Source organism: Homo sapiens, chromosome 5, assembly GCF_000001405.40.
Source record: "Homo sapiens chromosome 5, GRCh38.p14 Primary Assembly".
In the NCBI taxonomy this organism is placed as follows: domain Eukaryota; kingdom Metazoa; phylum Chordata; class Mammalia; order Primates; family Hominidae; genus Homo; species Homo sapiens.
Window position 1 is genome coordinate 94659282 of NC_000005.10, and position 18222 is coordinate 94677503.

At 37.3% G+C, this 18222-nt stretch overlaps 1 protein-coding gene across 10 annotated transcripts in view; it reads left to right on the top strand.

Annotated features, from left to right (window-relative positions):
- Positions 1–18222, top strand: part of SLF1 (SMC5/6 complex localization factor 1) — a 79391-nt gene that overhangs the window by 41051 nt on the left and 20118 nt on the right. For 8 of the 10 annotated variants that reach the window (XM_017009979.3, XM_047417830.1, XM_047417831.1 and 5 more), the window contains 5 exons: positions 3017–3070; positions 4469–4627; positions 6580–6743; positions 10870–10998; positions 11562–11727. In XM_017009979.3, the coding sequence (XP_016865468.1) occupies positions 3017–3070; positions 4469–4627; positions 6580–6743; positions 10870–10998; positions 11562–11727 (672 nt within the window). Of the gene's footprint in view, positions 1–3016; positions 3071–4468; positions 4628–6579; positions 6744–10869; positions 10999–11561; positions 11728–18222 lie in introns of those variants that run through there. The other 2 variants (XM_017009983.2, XM_024446239.2) reach the window with 2 other exon arrangements.

An 18222-nucleotide genomic window follows, 5' to 3' on the forward strand; every position in this document is an offset into this window, starting at 1 on the left:
CTCACTGAGTTTTTTTAATATCATCATTTTAATTTTTTTTAGGAATTTCATTGGTTTCCTTTTTGTTGGAATCTGTTGCTGGAGAATTATTGTGTTCCTTTACAGGTGCCATGTTGTCTTGCTTTTTCACCTTTCTTGCATAGTTATGTTGCTATCTGTGTATCTGGTGTAACAGTCACTTCAAATTTTGTGAATTGGTTTTCATAGGTTTTTTCTATAGTTGTATCTATAGTGTTGTTTGGATAGAGTGCTTTAGTTTTGCCAGATGTGAGCACATTGGTGTAGTCTCCATATGATTTCTTCATCTGTAGTCATCCACAGTGTTATCTTTGAGTTTGTCAGTGGCTTAGGCTACATTTGTTAGTGGAGGCTATAATGAAGTGTTGCTGGGGATGTGGACACAGGCATGTGGTCCTTGGGCAGCACTGGTGGTGGCAGCAGGCTGTGCATGCTGGTTCTTGGGTCCTGGGCAATATACATGGACACCAGTCATCACAGGTCTGGGTAGGCCAATCCCTGTGCCTCCTGGTGGCTTGCTTGGGTGCCAGCAGTGACAGTAGTGGGATGAGTGGGTCCTCAGGTCTCTGGGTGGTGTGCATGGCATTCGTGATGGCAGTAGTGGTTGTGGGCCAATCCTCGGGCCCCCAAGTAGCAAACATGGGTGCCAGCAGTGGTGGAAATAGGCTGAGCAGGCCAGGTGGCACATGTGGGTGGTTATCAGCAGCAGCAGCTTGACATGCTCATCCTTTGATCCCCCTAGTTGTTTGCATAGGTGCTCCTGGTAGCTGGTGTGATGGGTCGATCCACAGGTTCTCAGACAATGTGCTGGGGTCCCAGCAGCAGTGGCAGTTGGCAGAGTGGGCTGTCCTAGGCCCCAGATGGTGTATTTGGGCACCTGGTTGGTGAATGGGTGGGTTGATCCCGATGTTCCTGGATGACAAGTGCAGGTGGCATTGCCAGAGGCTGCATGCAGGTCTAATCTGTTCCTAGGCCCCTGACGGTGGGCGTGGCTGCCAGCTGTGGTAAATGAGGCAGGTCTGTTCACAGGCCTCATATCAGCGTGCTCAAGTGCCTGTTGCAGTAGGCCAGGTAGGCCTGTTATCAGGCCTCTTGATGGTTGCACAGGCACCAGGAGTGGTGGACAGGGATGGGTTGATACCCATTCTCCCTGGCAGTGCACTTGGGCTCTGGTGGCTGTGCTAGTAGTCGGAGTAGGGTAGGCCTTTCCTCAGGCCCCCCGATAGCTCCTGCAGCCTCTGGCTGCAGCAGACAAGGCGGTCTGATCCCCACGTCCTCGTATTGTGCATTTACACAGTGGTGGCGGGTGGGGTAGGCCTGTCTTCAGGCTTCCAGATGGCGCTTGTGGGCACCAGTGGCAGGCAGAGTGGATCTATCTGTAAGCCCTGGGACAACCCCCCAGTGGGCCACTCCTCAGGCCTCCTGAAGCCACATGCAAGTGCATGACGACGCTGGTGCTGGGCAGGGTTTGAAACACACAGAAACTGTGGGACAGGGTTTCTGCCAGTGACAGAGGCCCCAGGCAGGTGGCTCTCAGGATCTGAGGAGCTCCTGCTTTGGCTCCTTTTGTCCCCAGGGTGGCCTCCCTGGTGCTCTCCACCTCCTACTCCTTAGGATGTAGGACACTGTGTAGGTGAGAGTGCTGGCCACCTAGTTGCATTGTTGACTCCAGCTGGCATCATGACACTGCAGCTCTCTGGGTGGACAGGAATATCAGTGGGGCTCCGGGCTTAGGCACTGTTGGGCCACAGAGCAGGATGTAGTCTGGTAGTGTCTGGGCTCTACCTGGCGCCATGCTGCAGCCTCTTGGGTGCCAGCAGATTATGTGGGACTCAGCGTGTACTCTTTCTTTGGAATAATGCCATTGAGTGGACTCCAGGCAGCTTTCTAAACTAGTCTCTGGGCCAGTGAGGACTAAGGGGCTCTCCAGTTGCTAGGATTGCAGGAATTCATGGTGGGAATGTGGATCTGTGTAGATGTCTCTTGTTTTTCCCATTCGTAGTGGGTAGTTTCTCCAGGCTCCTAGCCAGTTCCATTTGAGCCAGCTGCTTTGCTTCTCTGTCTTTGCTTGCCTCAGAGATTCCCTGCCACTTTTAAATTGTAATGTTCTCTCTTAGATGCCCTATTCAGTGTGTGATTATCTACTCACTGTTTTAGTCCTTTGTGGAAGAGCTGAGTGCCAAGCACTTCTAAGTCAGCCATCTTGAAGCCCCCTTCTTCCAGGGTTTTTTGTTTTTTTGTTTTTTTTTTTTTGAGACCGGGTCTAGCTCTGTTGCCCAGGCTGGAGTGCAGTGGTGCAATCTCAGCTCACTACAACCTGAGCTTCCCAGGTTCAAGCAATTCTCCTGCCTCAGCCTCCTGAGAGTAGCTAGGATTATAGGCGCCTGCCACCACGCCTGGCTAATTTTTGTATATTTAATAGAGACGGGGTTTTGCCATGTTGGCCAGGCTGTTCTCAAACTCCTGACCTCAGGTGATCTGTCCAGCTTGGCCTTCCAAAGTGCTGGGATTACAGGTGTGAGCCACAGCGCCCAGCCTCAGGGTATTATCTCTTTATTATATTTGTTGCAGATATTTTTCCAGGATAATCTTTTAAATATGCAATTATGGGTGTTTTAAAACAATAAGATTTGACATATGGTTATATAGCAAACATAACTGATGTTTTTTTCTCCTGTGTACCCCTGTACAAAATGCTCTCCCCATTTATATTTCTAATAATTACGACACTAAGGACAATGGACCTCTTCAGATCTTCAAAGCGAATATGACTTAATTATTGTAATTTAGAAGGAGAAAATAGAGAAATGCTCATAGTCGTGAGAGTTCCCTAAAATAATAAAAGTTGCTAGTTTGAGTAAATATGAGTATCATATTAATTATAGCTATTAATGTGTTCCTGGATCTGTTTTATATGTTTTTCCAAGGTTTTGGGGAAGCTGAAATGTATTTTTCAATCTTAAAATGTTGTTTTAATTATATGGTTGCTCTTTTGTAGGCTGTCAGATACAACTGCATTAGAATAGATAAACAACCAGTGTACAACGTAGAGGTAAGGGGCTTGGAGCAGCATTGGTGATGGGGGCAAAGAAGAAGTTTTGTGTTTTGTTATTAGTTATTTTGAATAAAAGTAATGTGTTGTATGCACAATAAAAGGTAACGTATTATATGCACAAATAAAGAAATATAGCTTCTCTAATCAGAAATGATAAAAATATTCTGTCAAAACTCCCCCAAAAATTTCCATATAATAGTAAAAAATGATCACAAATGTTAAAAACACACCTTGTGCTTATGACAGGTGAAATATACATTCCTGTTCTCATGTTTCATAACTTTCATAATGACTACTTTTAGATTAAAATTTTTTGGTGTGATATTTACAAAAGTGTATTTTGTTATTTAAAGAAAATGATACCTTTATTTTACATACTTTCATTTCAGAACAAAATAAACCTACAATACATATATCCAGTCTATTGTTAAATTAGGGAGGGAATCGGGCTTGAGGCCCTTGTTTCCTTGTTTATTCTTCTAAACTTGATTTTTTAATTCCATGTAGTCTTTTAGAATATTTTTGACTCAAATTATTCAAGGTAGTTACTTTTATTATTAAGAATAGTTTGACCAAGGGGAATGTATTTTGTGAAGCTCTTAGAGTTATATAAATGTACAACCTCAGAGTGATTTTATGATTCTCCCAATCAGTTTTCACTTTTTGCAAATATTGCTTGTGCTTGATGATATCTTAACATTTTTAAGATATTTTAACAGAGTTCATTTTTAAGTTTAAAAGAAAACCAAAAAATAATTTTTCACCTAAAGAACTATGTCGCTGTAGCTCTTTCTCTTTTTTATCAACCAAACTGCAAATTCCTGTTAAAGGTTTTCTTTTAGAGGTAGTATTTTCCCTTACTACTGAAGGCAACAGAAAATAATTAATATAACAAGTAATAAAATACATTCATACATATCATCCTCTTTGAACTACATAGTCTCATCCAGCAGCAAGGCCAGGAATTATCTTCATTTCACAGATGAGGAAATTAAAATTTGTTACTAGGCTGGGTGCAGTGGCTTACGCCTATAATCCCAGCACTTTGGGAGGCCAAGGCAAGTGGATCACCTGAGGTCAGGAGTTTGAGACCAGCCTGGCCAACATGGTGAAACCCCGTCTCTGCTAAGAATACAAAAATCAGCTGGGTGTGGTGGCACGCATCCATAGGCCCAGCTATTCAGGAGGTTGAGGCAGGAGAATCACTTGAACCTGGGAGACGGAGGTTGCAAGTGAGCCGAGATCGCACCACTGCATTCCAGCCTGGGTAACAGAGTGAGACTCCGTCTCAAATGAATGAATGAATAAATAAATAATAAATTCTTACTAATTCATGATTTGATTGCAAAATTTTATCTTTCTTTTCTCTGAATCATAGAATCTTTCCTTTCTTAGGTTAAAAATGCTGAATTTCCCAGAGGTGTATTAAATTTAATTGAAAGCCTCATAGAAGGACATTTTTTTAAAGAAGCAATTGAGGAACTTTCCACTTTGCAGGCACATTATATCCCTCCTGTATGCGTTCTTCATGCCCTTCTAGAGAACGTTCTACAGGTAAGAGCAGCCTTAAGGATTTATAATCTTTTTTTCAAAGAATGTTAAAATGTGAACATTTTCTCACTTTTTGTATGTTTACAGTTTATTTTCCCTGTTCAGTGTTTTTTTTTCTTCATTTCACTAATGCAGTACCCATTTATTACTACTGTTCTGTTTTCCAGCTACATACTAGGTACTACTCTTAGTGCTTTAGCTAATGATTTTCTCAGGATTTCTAAGATAATTTTGTTTTGGGGAAAAAGGTTATCTAATTTTTCTCACGGCAGTAAAGTATCAAATATAAAATTCAGATTATGGTGATCTAGAATTACATTTGGTAAATTACTCCATTAGTACATTGATGATTATCATTTTTATTTATAGTATACATAATGAACATACTCTTTGTTTAAAAAGAAATAGAGGCAAGTTCCCTCTCTGTTGTCCAGGCTGGACTGCAGTGGTGTGATCATGGCTCACTGTGGCCTCAACCTCCTGGGCTCAAGTAGTCCCCCTGCTTCAGCCTCCCAAGTAGCTGGGACTGTAGGCGCATGCCACCATGCCTGGCTAATTTTTAAATTTTTTGTAGAGATGGAGTCTTGCTATGTTGCCCATGCTGGGAACATACCCAAACTGTGTAAACCAATAGGAACAAATATTCAAAGATCGCTTTCTAATCATGCCCTTCACCAAGGTGCTAATTTGATAACATAACAGGCATAAGCTTTGTCAGGTATGTTATGTTGGTGATAAGTAAGCATGTTGCATGAATAGTTTGTTACTTTTAGTTCCTTTCAGGTAACATTTGAGACCTCTTAAATCTCACTATAATTGTGAAAAGGAAAATGTGTATTCCATCTAAGGTAGTGTTAATAGAAGGGATTACCCAATGTATAGATAGAGTCATCCCTTGCTGTCACAGGATATTGGTTTCAGGACCTTTGTGGATACTGAAATCTGCACATAATCAAGTCCTGCAGTTGCTTCTTCAGAACCTGCACTTATAGGAAAAGTCAGCCCTCCACATACGAAGGTTTTACATCCTGTGAATACTGTATTTTTAAAGGTTTTTCTTTTAGAGGTAATTGTAAAATTTTCCCTTACTACTAGGGAAAAAAATTTCCTTCACTACTGAAGGCAATAGAAAATAATTAATACAATAACTAATAAGATACAGTCATACATATCATCCTCTTTGAACTACATAATCTCATTCAGCAGCAAGGGCAGGAATTATCTTTATTTTACAGGTGAGGAAATTAAAACTTCTTAGTAGGCCGGGTGCTGTGGCTCACACCTGTAATTCCAGCACTTTCAGAGGCCGAGGCCTCCCAAATACAGAATACTGTATTTAATTGCAGTTGTAGAACCTATGGACGTGAAGGGTAGGCTGCATTTATTGGAAAAAAATTCATGTGTAAGTGGACCCATGCAGTTAAAACCTGTTATTCAGGTATCAGCTGTACATAGAGTGTGCCTGTCTCTCAGTTGCTTTATTTAATTAGCTAAACATGATGCTTCCATCTGCTCTCCTTTGTCTAAACACGTATATTTGGCAAGAAACTTAGGCCAGCGTTAGGCCGGGCGTGGTGGCTCACACCTGTAATCCCAGCACTTTGGGAGGCTGAGGTGGGCAGATCACAAGGTCGGGAGTTCAAGACTAGCCTGGCCAACATAGTGAAATCCCATCTCTACTAAAAATACAAAAATTAGCCAGGCATGGTGGTGGGTGCCTGTAGTCCCAGCTACTTACTCAGGAGGCTGAGGCAGAAAAATCGCTTGAACCCAGGAGGCGGAGGTTGAGGTAAGCCAAGATCGTGCCACTGCACTCCAGCCTGGGTGACAGAGCCAGACTCCGTCTCAAAAAAGAAAGTTAGGCCAGGGTTACTGTTTTGGTTTTAGACTGAATTAGAGAGTCAAACTACTTTTAGCTATAGTGTTTTATTTGTTTGTTTATTTTTAAATAATAGGATAACATAGATACATTTTCTGGTCGATACTTTCATATATTGTCAGCTCTTCTTCACCTGCATCCTCCTTGGAAGTCTCCAGCCATGTCGAGATATTATTTAGAGTTGTTTCAGTGTCCAACTTGTATGAAAGGAGCATGGTCTTTAGTAGAAGTCCTTATCAGGTAAGGAATTTCACATTTGACGATGCTACATTTCATTGAGTAGTTGTTATGCTAATTATTTTTTTAAGATACTGATGAAAGAAGTATCTTTCTACTTTTGGAAAAGTTTTGTTGCAAATACAAATATGTATTGTATTTATTGCAAAACTTATGAAAAGGCAAATCTATATTGGTCATGTTTTTCAGTCTGTTTCCTAAAAAAATAAAAAATGAATGCATGAAATGGACTCACTAGAAAGCCAAATCATTATTATTTTTAACAAAATAGAAATTTGTGTATTGTTTTTTAAATGAAGAAAATTAATTTATGGAATATGCATATCATCAGTTTTTGTCACCAAAAGTGTAGACATTTGTAACTATAGTATCTATTTTAGGGCTTCAGTTATATTTTTTTCAGCTAGAAATTTGAATTTTAAAACAGAACTTAATATTTCCTAAATATGTCATCTCTTTTATGCTTCTGCACATGCTGTCACTGCCTAGACCTTCCTCTGTCTTTCAGTTGTTAGTGTCTCCAGAAATTCTGTTTCACCTTCTTTCTCCCTAACAGAAAATGTTTTCCCCTTGCTATTCAAATAACTGTATTTGATAACCCTTATTCTTCTGGGAAGATCTTTTCTTTTTTTGAGACATGAGTCTCGCTCTGTCACCCAGGCTGGAGTGCAGTGGCCTGATCTTGGCTCACTGTAACCTCTACCTCCCAGGCTCAAGCAATTCTTATGCCTTAGCCTTCCAAGTAGCTAGAGTTACAGGCATGTGCCTCCACGTCCAGCTAATTTTTGTATTTTTTCATTTTTAGTAGAGATGGGCTTTTACCATGTTGGCCAGGCTGGTCTCGAATTGCTGGCCTCAAGTGATCTGCCTGACTTGGGCTCCCAAAGTCCTGGGATTATAGGAGTGGACCATCACGCCTGGCTGGGAAGATCTTTTTTTTTTTTTTTTTTTTTTTAATTTAAGTGTCCAGTTTCAGGAGGTTCATAGTGGAGAAAGGACACCTGACTAGCCATGCAAAGGCTAGACCTCTGGTTAGCTCTTTGAGATCATAAAGATTCACATACCATCTTGGTTGTGATATATTTAAAGTGAGCTAATCAGTTAACCAGCATGCATTTATTCATTCTTTTAACAAATTCTTGAGTACTTACGGAGAGCCAGACACTGTACTACATTTTAGGGATTAAAAAGATGATTTAAATAACAGTTCCTGCACTTTGAAAGTGACTGAGATGTAAACAATACCGCACAAAAGTACAAGCCCAACAGTACAAGCCCAGCATAGGTATATGATGTGAGAAAATAGAGTTTATGTGGCTGACATCCTTCATAATTTCCAAATCTATTCCTTTCTTCACTGTCAATTGTCTTTATTTTAAAGTTCCTGTTTCTTCTTATATAAACTATTGCAGTAGCTGCTTTATTGATCTTGGGTCTACTTTTTTCCTTTTAATTTTTCTTCCAAAGTACCCCCCCACAGTATGCTCTTTCCAAAGTGATCTTGTCATTTCCCATATTAAAGTCCTTCATTGACTCACATACATTGAACTACCTATAGAAGATGGTTCAGATTTCTTAGCGAAATACGTAAGACCCTTCATGAGTTAGCCCTTATATATGTCTCAGTTCTCATCTTCACCACTTTCTTGAATGTGTCCAATAGTTATTTTCCATATCCTGTCTTTTGCTCTTATGTTTTCCGAATTTCCTAGCTTTTTTGTTTGTTTGTTTGTTTTGTTTTGTTTTGTTTTTTAAGACACTCTGTTGCCCAGACTGGAGTGCAATGGCACAATCACGGCTCACTGCAGCCTGAAACTCCCAGGCTCAGGTGATCCTCCCGCCTCAGCCTCCTGAATAGCTGGGACTACAGGCATGTGCTCCCACGCCTGGCTAGTTTTGTATTTTTTGTAGAAATGGGGTTTTACCATGTTTCCCAGGCTGGTCTCCACCACTTGAGCTCAAGTTTTCTGCCCGCCTCAGCCTCCCAAAGTGCCAGGATTAAAGGCATGAGCCACCATGCCTCACTGCTTCGTTTCACTTCTCTTCTCTCTTCTCTCCTCTCTCCTCTCCTCTCTTCTCCTTTGTCCCTTGTCTTCACTTTTCTTCCTTTCCCTTTTCCCTTTTCTTTTCTCTTCTTTCCTTTTCAAATCTCACTGTCACCAAGGACAGTGTGCAGTGGCGGGATCATAGCTCACTGCAATCTTGAGCTCCTGGGTTCAGGCCACTCTCCTGCCTCAGCCTCCTGAGTACCTGGGACTACAGGTGCCCACCACCACACCTGGCCAATTTTGTTGTTGTGGTTGTGGTTGTAGTTTGTTTGTTTGTTTTTTGAGAAGAAGTTTCGCTCTGTTGCCCAGGCTGGAGTGCAGTGGTGCGATCTCGGCTCACTGCAACCTCCGCCTCGCAGGATCAAGCGATTCTCCTGCCTCAGCCTCCCAAGTAGCTGGGATTACAGGCATGCGCCACCACGCCTTGCTGATTTTTTTTTGTATTTGGTAGAGATGGAGTTTTACCATGTTGGTCAGGCTGGTCTCAAACTCCTGACCTTAGGTGATCCACCCGCCTCCACTTCCCAAAGTGCTGGGATTACAGGCATGAGCTACTGTGCCAGGCCTACATGACTAATTTTTAAATTTTTTGTAGAGGTGAAGTCTCCCTGTGTTGCCCAGGCTGGTCTCAAATTCCTGGGCTCAAGCAATCCTCCTACCTTGTCCTCCCAAAGCACTGGGATTACAGGAATGGGCCACCATGCTCAGCCATAGTTTTCCCTTAAAATGCAATTTAGCTGCCACTTTCTTACTCTTGACCTTTCCTTTAAGTTTGTCATTCACATCAGGCCTATGACTTTCTTAAAGAGAGGTGCTCAGTCTTGTTTTTCTTTCTTTAAACTTCCCTCTTACAGAAGGTGTTCAGTCTTAAATATCTCCATCCTTAATATCTAATATAATGCCTGGAATGTAAGTACTTAATAAAGGTTTGGATGAATTTATTGATGCTGTAGGTGATAGATTTTGGGCAGCTTAAAAATAGACTTTTAAACAAAAATACCCAGATTTCATTTCAAAATAATGGGGTACTGTGGAGGTGCTTAGGGAAGTGGTAGGAATATGAATGAGCTAAGTAATACTAGTCTCTACTTTTGTATATATTTGAAATATTCCATAATGCATAGAGAAACGTAAGTTCTCTATCTCTGACAGTTTTCAGAAAGACTGATTAACTATGTGGGCATGAAGGATCTTATAGATAGATTGAATATTAAATAAATTGTTAAAGCTACTAAGGACTCTCCTGAGAATGTTGTATTAAAAAAGAAGACAGCGGAAGTGGAGACAGAGGTAGAAAGTTATAAGTGCATTGTTGATATAATCAATAAGAAAAGTGGGAGATTGTAATAAATAGTGTTACCTAGACACTATTTCTTAAATCCTAGAGTTCTGAGTAATCTTCTATTCTCTTTAGAAATATATTATAGAAGTGTGCTGTCTGACCCAATAGCCACTAGCCATATCTATTTATATTTAAATTTTATTCAGACAAAGTAATTAAAAATGTGGGTCCTTGGGTATACAAGCCACATTTCAAGTGTCTAGTAGAACATATACATCATCACAGAAAGTTCAGTTGGAGAGGACTGCTCTAGAAGACAGAAAGAAAATAAAATAATGAATATTAAAAACGCTAAAAAAGTAGCCCTAAATAATCTTCATTTACTAACTAATGAAAAAGAAAGTAATCTTGGGTAAGAAAGAGGAGGATTCTGGCGAGTATTATAAATTGAGAGGTTAGCTGGTCATTTAAATCAAAAGGACTTAATGAAATCTATAATCTTTGTTCTCATCAGTGAAATAAAGAGCACAAAGGGAGAGTACCTGCTAGTCATTAAATATTATAATAACTTGAAAAATTGAGAAATTAGATCTATTTATTAAGAATTAAGTACTCATGAGATATTTGACATTGTTTAATTTTTGAAGGAAGAAATATATTCATAAAATTTTGTTGAACTTTCTATTTTAAGAAAATTTTATTAAAATTCCAGCAGTATTCTAGAAGGAGAAATATTTTGTTCACAAATGACTTAGTGAATTGCTTGTATGTTATAGATTTTTGGGTTCATGTTTTTCAGGTCTTGCCTTTTCAATGAAAGCTTTTGTCATCAAATTTCAGAAAATATTGGCTCCAAGGTGCTCCACCTGACGCTACTCAAATTTTTCTTTAATTTAATTGAAAGTGAAGTACAACATCTGAGTCAAAAGTAAGTTCTAATCGCAAGAATAACACTTTTCTAAATTTTGGTTGTTTTTATGCACCATTTTTTTTTTACAATTATTATAAATATATTTCTAAAAAGTCACCTTATTTTCTATTTTAAGATAGATTTGTTTTTAAAACATATTTCCAGATATTCTCAGTGGGAGTAAAGGTTTATATGCCCTTTTAAAAAATTTCCTCAGTTCACTTCCACTGTTCATTTGGATGGATAATAGTGTTTTCATTTTTTAGGATTTTAAAAAAATTCTTTAGTAATTGAATGCTAAGTAAAAAACTACACCAATTTTAAACACTGAGCCTACAATGGTAAGTTTTGCTCCTGCTCTAAAACTTGCAGATAGATTACTGTGTATATATACATTGTCAGTGACTTTATTGAACTGGGGCCATTTTTTATATTTTGTCCTTTATTATAATTGTTATAATCTTTATATTTTATGATCTATGTTCAAAAATTGCTAGCATTTTTTTTGACAGGAGAGATGTCAAGTAATTGTCATGATCAAATTGGCTTAAAGATATACTTTTTGTTTATATTTTAATTAGGTTGTATGACTGGTCAGATTCTCAGAATCTGAAAATAACAGGAAAGGCAATGCTTCTTGAAATTTTTTGGTCAGGAAGTGAAACCTCTGGGCTTTTGACCAAACCAGTAAATATGCTTTTGGAATGGACTATATATTCTCACAAGGAAAAATTCAAGTCTAATGATGTAAGTAGGATTAATTTATAGATGAATAGTCTATGGAAACAGCACTTTGAATTATTTACCTTTTCCTCTCCTCTTTATTCTTTGGATCACTCGAAAACAATTAAAATGTACCCAAATATATCATTGTTTTCTATTTAGTTTAGTTTTAAGGTAAAAGGTCCTTGGAGACTGGTTCCTTCATCGTCTCATGTTTGCATGTAGTAGCTAGTGAATTATATGATAGTTACTGCTAAGAAATCTCTAGTTACTTACCTTTCTAGATTTTTTACTTTTGTGCAATTTGATTCATGAAGAACTTAAGATTTAAAAATAAATGAGTCAATCCATACAATTTTTGAGGGGTACTACTAATAAATATTAATATTTATTAGTATTATTTTAAAACTACCTCTTTTGATGTTGAGTTATTTTCTGAAATATTTGTTTATAAGTTGATTTTGCCTGTCATTAGAAATTTAACATATAGTGATTTTAGTGTATTATCCATCTCAAGGATAATAGCGTATATAGCAACATAACTTTGGCACATTTTGGTTGCATAATAAATATTAGTCACCTTTTTCCTTTTCAGAATGATCTCCCTTTGGAATTATATTATCTCCTTTTTTGCGTTACATCATTCATTTTGCTCTTTTCTTTTAATTTTTTTTTTTTTTTACTTTTTCTCGTATCTTCTTGAATCTTTTTTTCTTTTTAGTCTTCATTTCTAATACATCCACCTAATATAAATTACCTGTTGAGTACAACTTGACATTCATTTCGTAGTTTGGTACTTTAACCTAGAGTGCTCTGTTTTTTTTCAAAGTATTTTCTATTGTTAATTTTGATTTCCCTCTTTGATCCAAGAGATATTTTTAAAAGATGTTTTAAGATTTCTAGATAGATGGGTTTTGTTTGTTTGGCTGTGCTTTTTTTGGTTAGTTTCTAATAGTGAATTATAGTGAAAGAATGCACCTTATGCAATTTCTGCTATCTGAAATTTACTGAAGTTCTCTTTTTGGCTCCATATAAGACTAGGAACCAGAATGTGTTTTTTCTGTTGGATTGGATCAAACTTCATAATTGTTTTAATCAATCCTTCTGAATCGACTTTGTTGATTTGCTCATCTATTTATTTTTAAGTTTCTGCTTCATGTATGCTAATGACACCTTATTATTCATAACTGATATATCATGACTACTAGTTATGATCCTATAACTGCTAGTTAGGTAATATCTTTTTCAGGGATCGTAAGCATAGTAGTTAGGGTGGAGAGCTCTGGTATCAAACTACCATGAAGTCTATTCTGTCTTAACAAAAATGCTTATGTAGTTTCTCGTCAAATACTTCCTCAGATCCATTTTCTCTTCTCTACGTTTTAAATTACCATTAAACTTACGTTATACCTTTTCTTCATATTCTTTGTGTTTTTCACCTTGTATCTCCCTCCCTTTCTCTCTCTCTCCCTCTTTCTCTCCCTCTACCATTTCCCCTGTCCTCCTCTTTCTCCCTCTTCCCCCGCCCCATATAGATTTTTTTTTTCTGTACTTGCCACATTCTGGATAGTATTTTCGTCCAGTTTTTAGTTCATTAGTTCTTTCTTCAGCTATGTCCAGTATATTGTTAAACATGACCATTGCATTTAAATTTTTTGTGTTTTTTCCAGTTAAAAGACTTTTTAACTGTTCCAAACCACTATGACTTGTTTTTATGAGTTTCAAGGTTTTCTTTTGTCTTTAACATGGCAATGACATTTATTATCTATGCTTGATTATTCCATATCTGAAGTCTTTATGGGTCTGTTTCTGTTGTTGTTTTTGCTGTTTCCTTCTCTTGTGCTTTTTTATTTTCTCTTGCAAGCTTATTATTCACTATATGCTTTTAAATTGCATTTGAGAAGTTATTTGTAGAAACAATACGTGATAAAGACCAGAGTATCTTCCCCCAGAAAGAATTTCTGTTGAACTTCTGCCAAGTGCCTGGGTGTACCACTAGTTAAGGACTATTCTAATCCAATGTCTATGTTTGGGGGACTCTGGGTAGTTCAAATGAAGTAAAGGGCTACATATACATTTAGTTTTGCTTCTGATTCACTCTTACCATGAGGATGAAGCCCTTCACTTTTTCATCCTATGAGCAATTAGCTTTTGGCCATGACTTTTTTTTTTTTTAATCTTTTCTTCCCTTGTGCTCCAGAAACCACAGTTCTGTATTCTAGATTCTTCCTTAAAATCAGTGAAAGTCCTCAGGGCGAAGTCAGGTATCTGAGTAGCTCCCTTGAGTACCTCACTAGATTTTGGCCTAGCACTTCCTCATAATTTGTTCTCTTTTTTTTCTGAAATGTTTTGCTTATTTTATTTAACATTTTTAGTTTTAGTTTTCTTCTCTAAGTGGGTTCAATTGAGGCCGGGTGCAGTGGTTCCTGCCTGTAATCCCAGCACTTTGATATGCTGAAGTGGAAGGATTGCTTGCGGCCAGGAGCTCAAGACCAGTCTGAGCAACATAGTGAGACCCCCATCTCTACCAAAAAAACAAAACAAAACCAAAAATAAAACAGATGTAGTGGTGTGCACATGTATTAGTTTTAACTACTTGAGAGGCTGCCCTGGGAGGATTGCTTGAGCCCAGAAGTTGGAGGCTGCAGTGAGCTATGATTGCGCCGCAGCATTCCAGCCTGGGTGACAGAGTGAGACCTTGTCTCTTAAAAAAAAAAAAAAAAAAAAAAAATTCATCTGAATTACCTAGGCCTTCATTAGAAATAGAAGTTCTTGCTGGTTTTTTAAAAAATACTGTTTGTTTAGTTGTCTGAGGCAGGAAAATAAAAGTTAGTTCTTTTTGAGGTACTATTTTTTTTTTTCTAAATCAGCATTAAAACGGGAAGATTGCTCTGAGTATAGCTAGATTTGTTTGTGATCAAGTAATCCTATTATTTAACAATAACCAGGTGAGTAGACACTGTTTTGTGCATGTATCTGATTTAAAAGGAAGTATAATTTTGCAAATTACAGAAATTGAAAATACTTAAATAGGACTACTATTTAGACCTCATTGCCAATTGAGTATAGCACTTTAAAGCTGATAGCATCTTTATAAATTACCATCTGTCTTTTTATTTACTTTTTATACAATGCAATCATTAAGGATAGAAAATATTTCTTCATTATAGAACGTTTCTTTTTTTCATTCATTTGATTACATAAATGAAATTGCTCATTTATAATTTAAAACAATAAAATGATGTTGTCACAATTTTACTAAGTCTTCAAGGGACTATCACAGATAAGAAATTACTTAAGAAGCTCTGATGTAAATAGTAACAGATTTATACATATTTAACTTGAAGATTTTTGTTCAAACTTATAAATAAAAGCAACATATGTGTGAAGCAGTCTGCAATAAATTGTAGCATTGTGATATGAGAACTGGTTTTAAATTTTGCAAATTAATATTTTATTTAACATTTGAATTGCTTAAATTGATATAAAACTGCTTTTTAAAAATTGTATTACCTTTCTGCTAGAATTCATTCTTGTACTTAATTAAATCTTTTTGGCAGTTTCCAGTTTCAAGAATTCCATGCATGTTCACAGACATCATTTTCTGTACTGTAAAGCATTTGTTTCTTGATTTGCTGAGTTGAAGTATTCAATTTAAGTCATTAGCTAAACAGAAGTCCTCAGTTTATGCTAATATTGTTTTGTCATAATGTCAATCAGCAAGTATTGCAGAGTGACACAATGGCAGTGAATTTCATTGTCATTAATCTGAGAAAATGTTGGGCTTTCCTTGGCAAAGAGCAGAGGTGGGCTGTGTCAAGGTTATGGAGGAGGTACAATTTTTACTAGTCCCACTTTTCTTTGAGATGTTCTTAAGTGCTATTGATAATTCTACAATATAGGTAGAAATGTAAGCTAGTTTATATTAATAGATAAGAAAGTTGATAAAGAGTTTAAATAACTTATTCAAGGTGTCACAGCTTGTTAGGGCAAAGCCTTGACTAGAGGCCAAGTCTCCACTGCACCACACTTTCTCATGTTTCAAATGCCAGTGTTTAAAACAGGAAGAGGCACAGTGTGTGCTTTATGTTTGCATCTTTCCAACAGAGTAGTTTGTCACATATTACAGTGGGATATCATGGAAATCCCTAACCTGGGAGTCAGAAGGCCAAGATGCTAGTTTGTTCTACTTTACAGATTAGTCAAGTTTTGGAAGATTGCCAATTTTATAAACTAGAAGTTATCTCTACTGGCAGATGATATAGAACCACATTGACAGAATGTCTGGTAATAGAGTTAAACATATTAGAAAGGAATTCTAAGGTAAATATATATCATATATGCAAATCTTGTCAACCTTTTATTTCTTTGTTAATTCTTAGGGTATTCGTGTTCTCTTCTGTCAGCTTTAACAAATATTTCAGTATTCCAAGAAAGCTGTTTTCCTTTGATGATTTATTTACTATTTTCTTACTAATCTATTTCTAAAGCTTATATATCCACTAATACTGGAAGGAATAGCATCGTTGATGTATTGTTAAAGTGGCAGTGAGTATAGTCCATAGCACACTGTCTTGGCCCTATTATTGTTATGAGTGTGCTAGTTAAGATTATGGTATAAAAGGATCTAAGAACCTGAGTTGAAAGTGTCTTTTCATATAAAAACTTACTATTATGGCTATGTAGTAGTGTGCATGTTTAGCTAATGACATGAAAAGAACAACAACTTTGGCAGGATCTTTTTTATCATAGTAAAAAAGCTATAGTTATTCCTCGAAATCACTGCAAGACCTCTTCTGTTTAATAACATTAATATCAAGGTAAATTTAATATTAAGCAATATATTAATATTCTATTGTGATTTTAACTGTATGTACCACATATTTATATAAGGAAGGAGGGAAAGTCCCAACTGGTTGATTTTTTTTTTTTTTTTTTTTTTAAATGTTGTTTTTGGTTGTTGGAAAGCTGGATTGTGTTTTTATATAAGGCTTCACTTTGTGGGCTAACATCCTTCTTTCCTGCCCAGAGTCTTAAAGCCTGGGTGGTCTAAAGTGATCTTGATTTACTATACCCTTGAGATGGAGAATACTTTCAGAAATCAAAATTTACCAACCTCTTGCTTCTTTCCTGAGTACTGTCACTGCTGATATTCAGATACATATTATGTTGGAAGGAACATTTTGTGGATGCATATGTGCATATGGACATAATCAGTTTACTAGTTTAAATATATATTTTCACTGTTCTGTTTTATATTCTCTTGATAACAGTGAGAAGTAAGGATTAACTAACTTGCTCAGAGTGATCAAGCAAGATACTGGCTTTACAGAGAATGGAGTTGATTTCCTGCAGTGTTTTCTGGAGACTAGCACTAGACCCTAGTCCTGCCGATCACACCAGGGGAGGTGTTGGTGCTACTGATGTGGTCAGACCTGCTGCTGGTTTCCCATGCCATATAGCCGCAACTGCAAGGCTTAAACTCAGCTGTCCTATCAAGGCAGGAGACTGGGTGGGATTGACAGCCACCTGTGAAGACTCACCTGCTAGGATCTGGCTGGCTGTCTTGGTCGCTGATCATGTCCGAAGAAGTACACCACTTTCTTAATCATGCAGCTTTTAAAAATCTCCTCAGCCCCACACTTGAGGGTCTCTCTCCTAGATTCTAATGTCTAGCCCTACACGAATGCAGTATGCTGCCCTTGATGTGATAGGACAACAGAGGACCTGCACACATGCTACTGGTCCTGACTGTGTTTTCCTTCCATAAACACTGTTCTGGCAAGCTGGTTTTATGTGCTGCTGGACCATTTGCTTATGTTTGCACAATAAACCAGAAATTAAACTTTGGTTTTGAAATCATTTATCTGCTAGCTAGAGCTATTAGATATGGAATGATATCCCAATGAAATATTGAATATACATATAAGAAATTTCTTACCTGAGGGCAGGAGAAACAAATCCAGTAGTCACTGAGGGTTCAGAGTGCTAGGGATTTCTTTCTCACTAATCCCATATTAGGCATAATATGTGCTAGTTTGGTCTGTAATATATAACTCTAATACACTGAAATACACATAATTTATTCCGTAATATATAACATAATAACATACTGTTTATGAGTGTGTTAGTTTAGATTATAGTATAAAAGGATCCAAGAACCTGATTTGGAAGTGCCTTTTATGTAAAATGTACTATTCTAATCCCTAAAATTCCATGTAAACTATGAAGACAAAGTGTGAAAATAATATTTTAAAAACACCTTTGATTTAAATATAAACATTTTTTCGAAACATTAAAACCAGCTGAAATTCCTGTTACTTGTCGTCTAGGCTTGTTGGATATGTGAAAAAATCACAAAACAGTTGGGTAAAAGGCATGTGAAAAGGTTTTAATAAATATTGTGATAATAGATTAGGTTATTAGTAATATTAGATCTATTAGTTATAGACCAGGTTCTTAGATCCTTTTATACTGTAATCTTTTATACATGAACAGAATGTTATATATTATGTTATT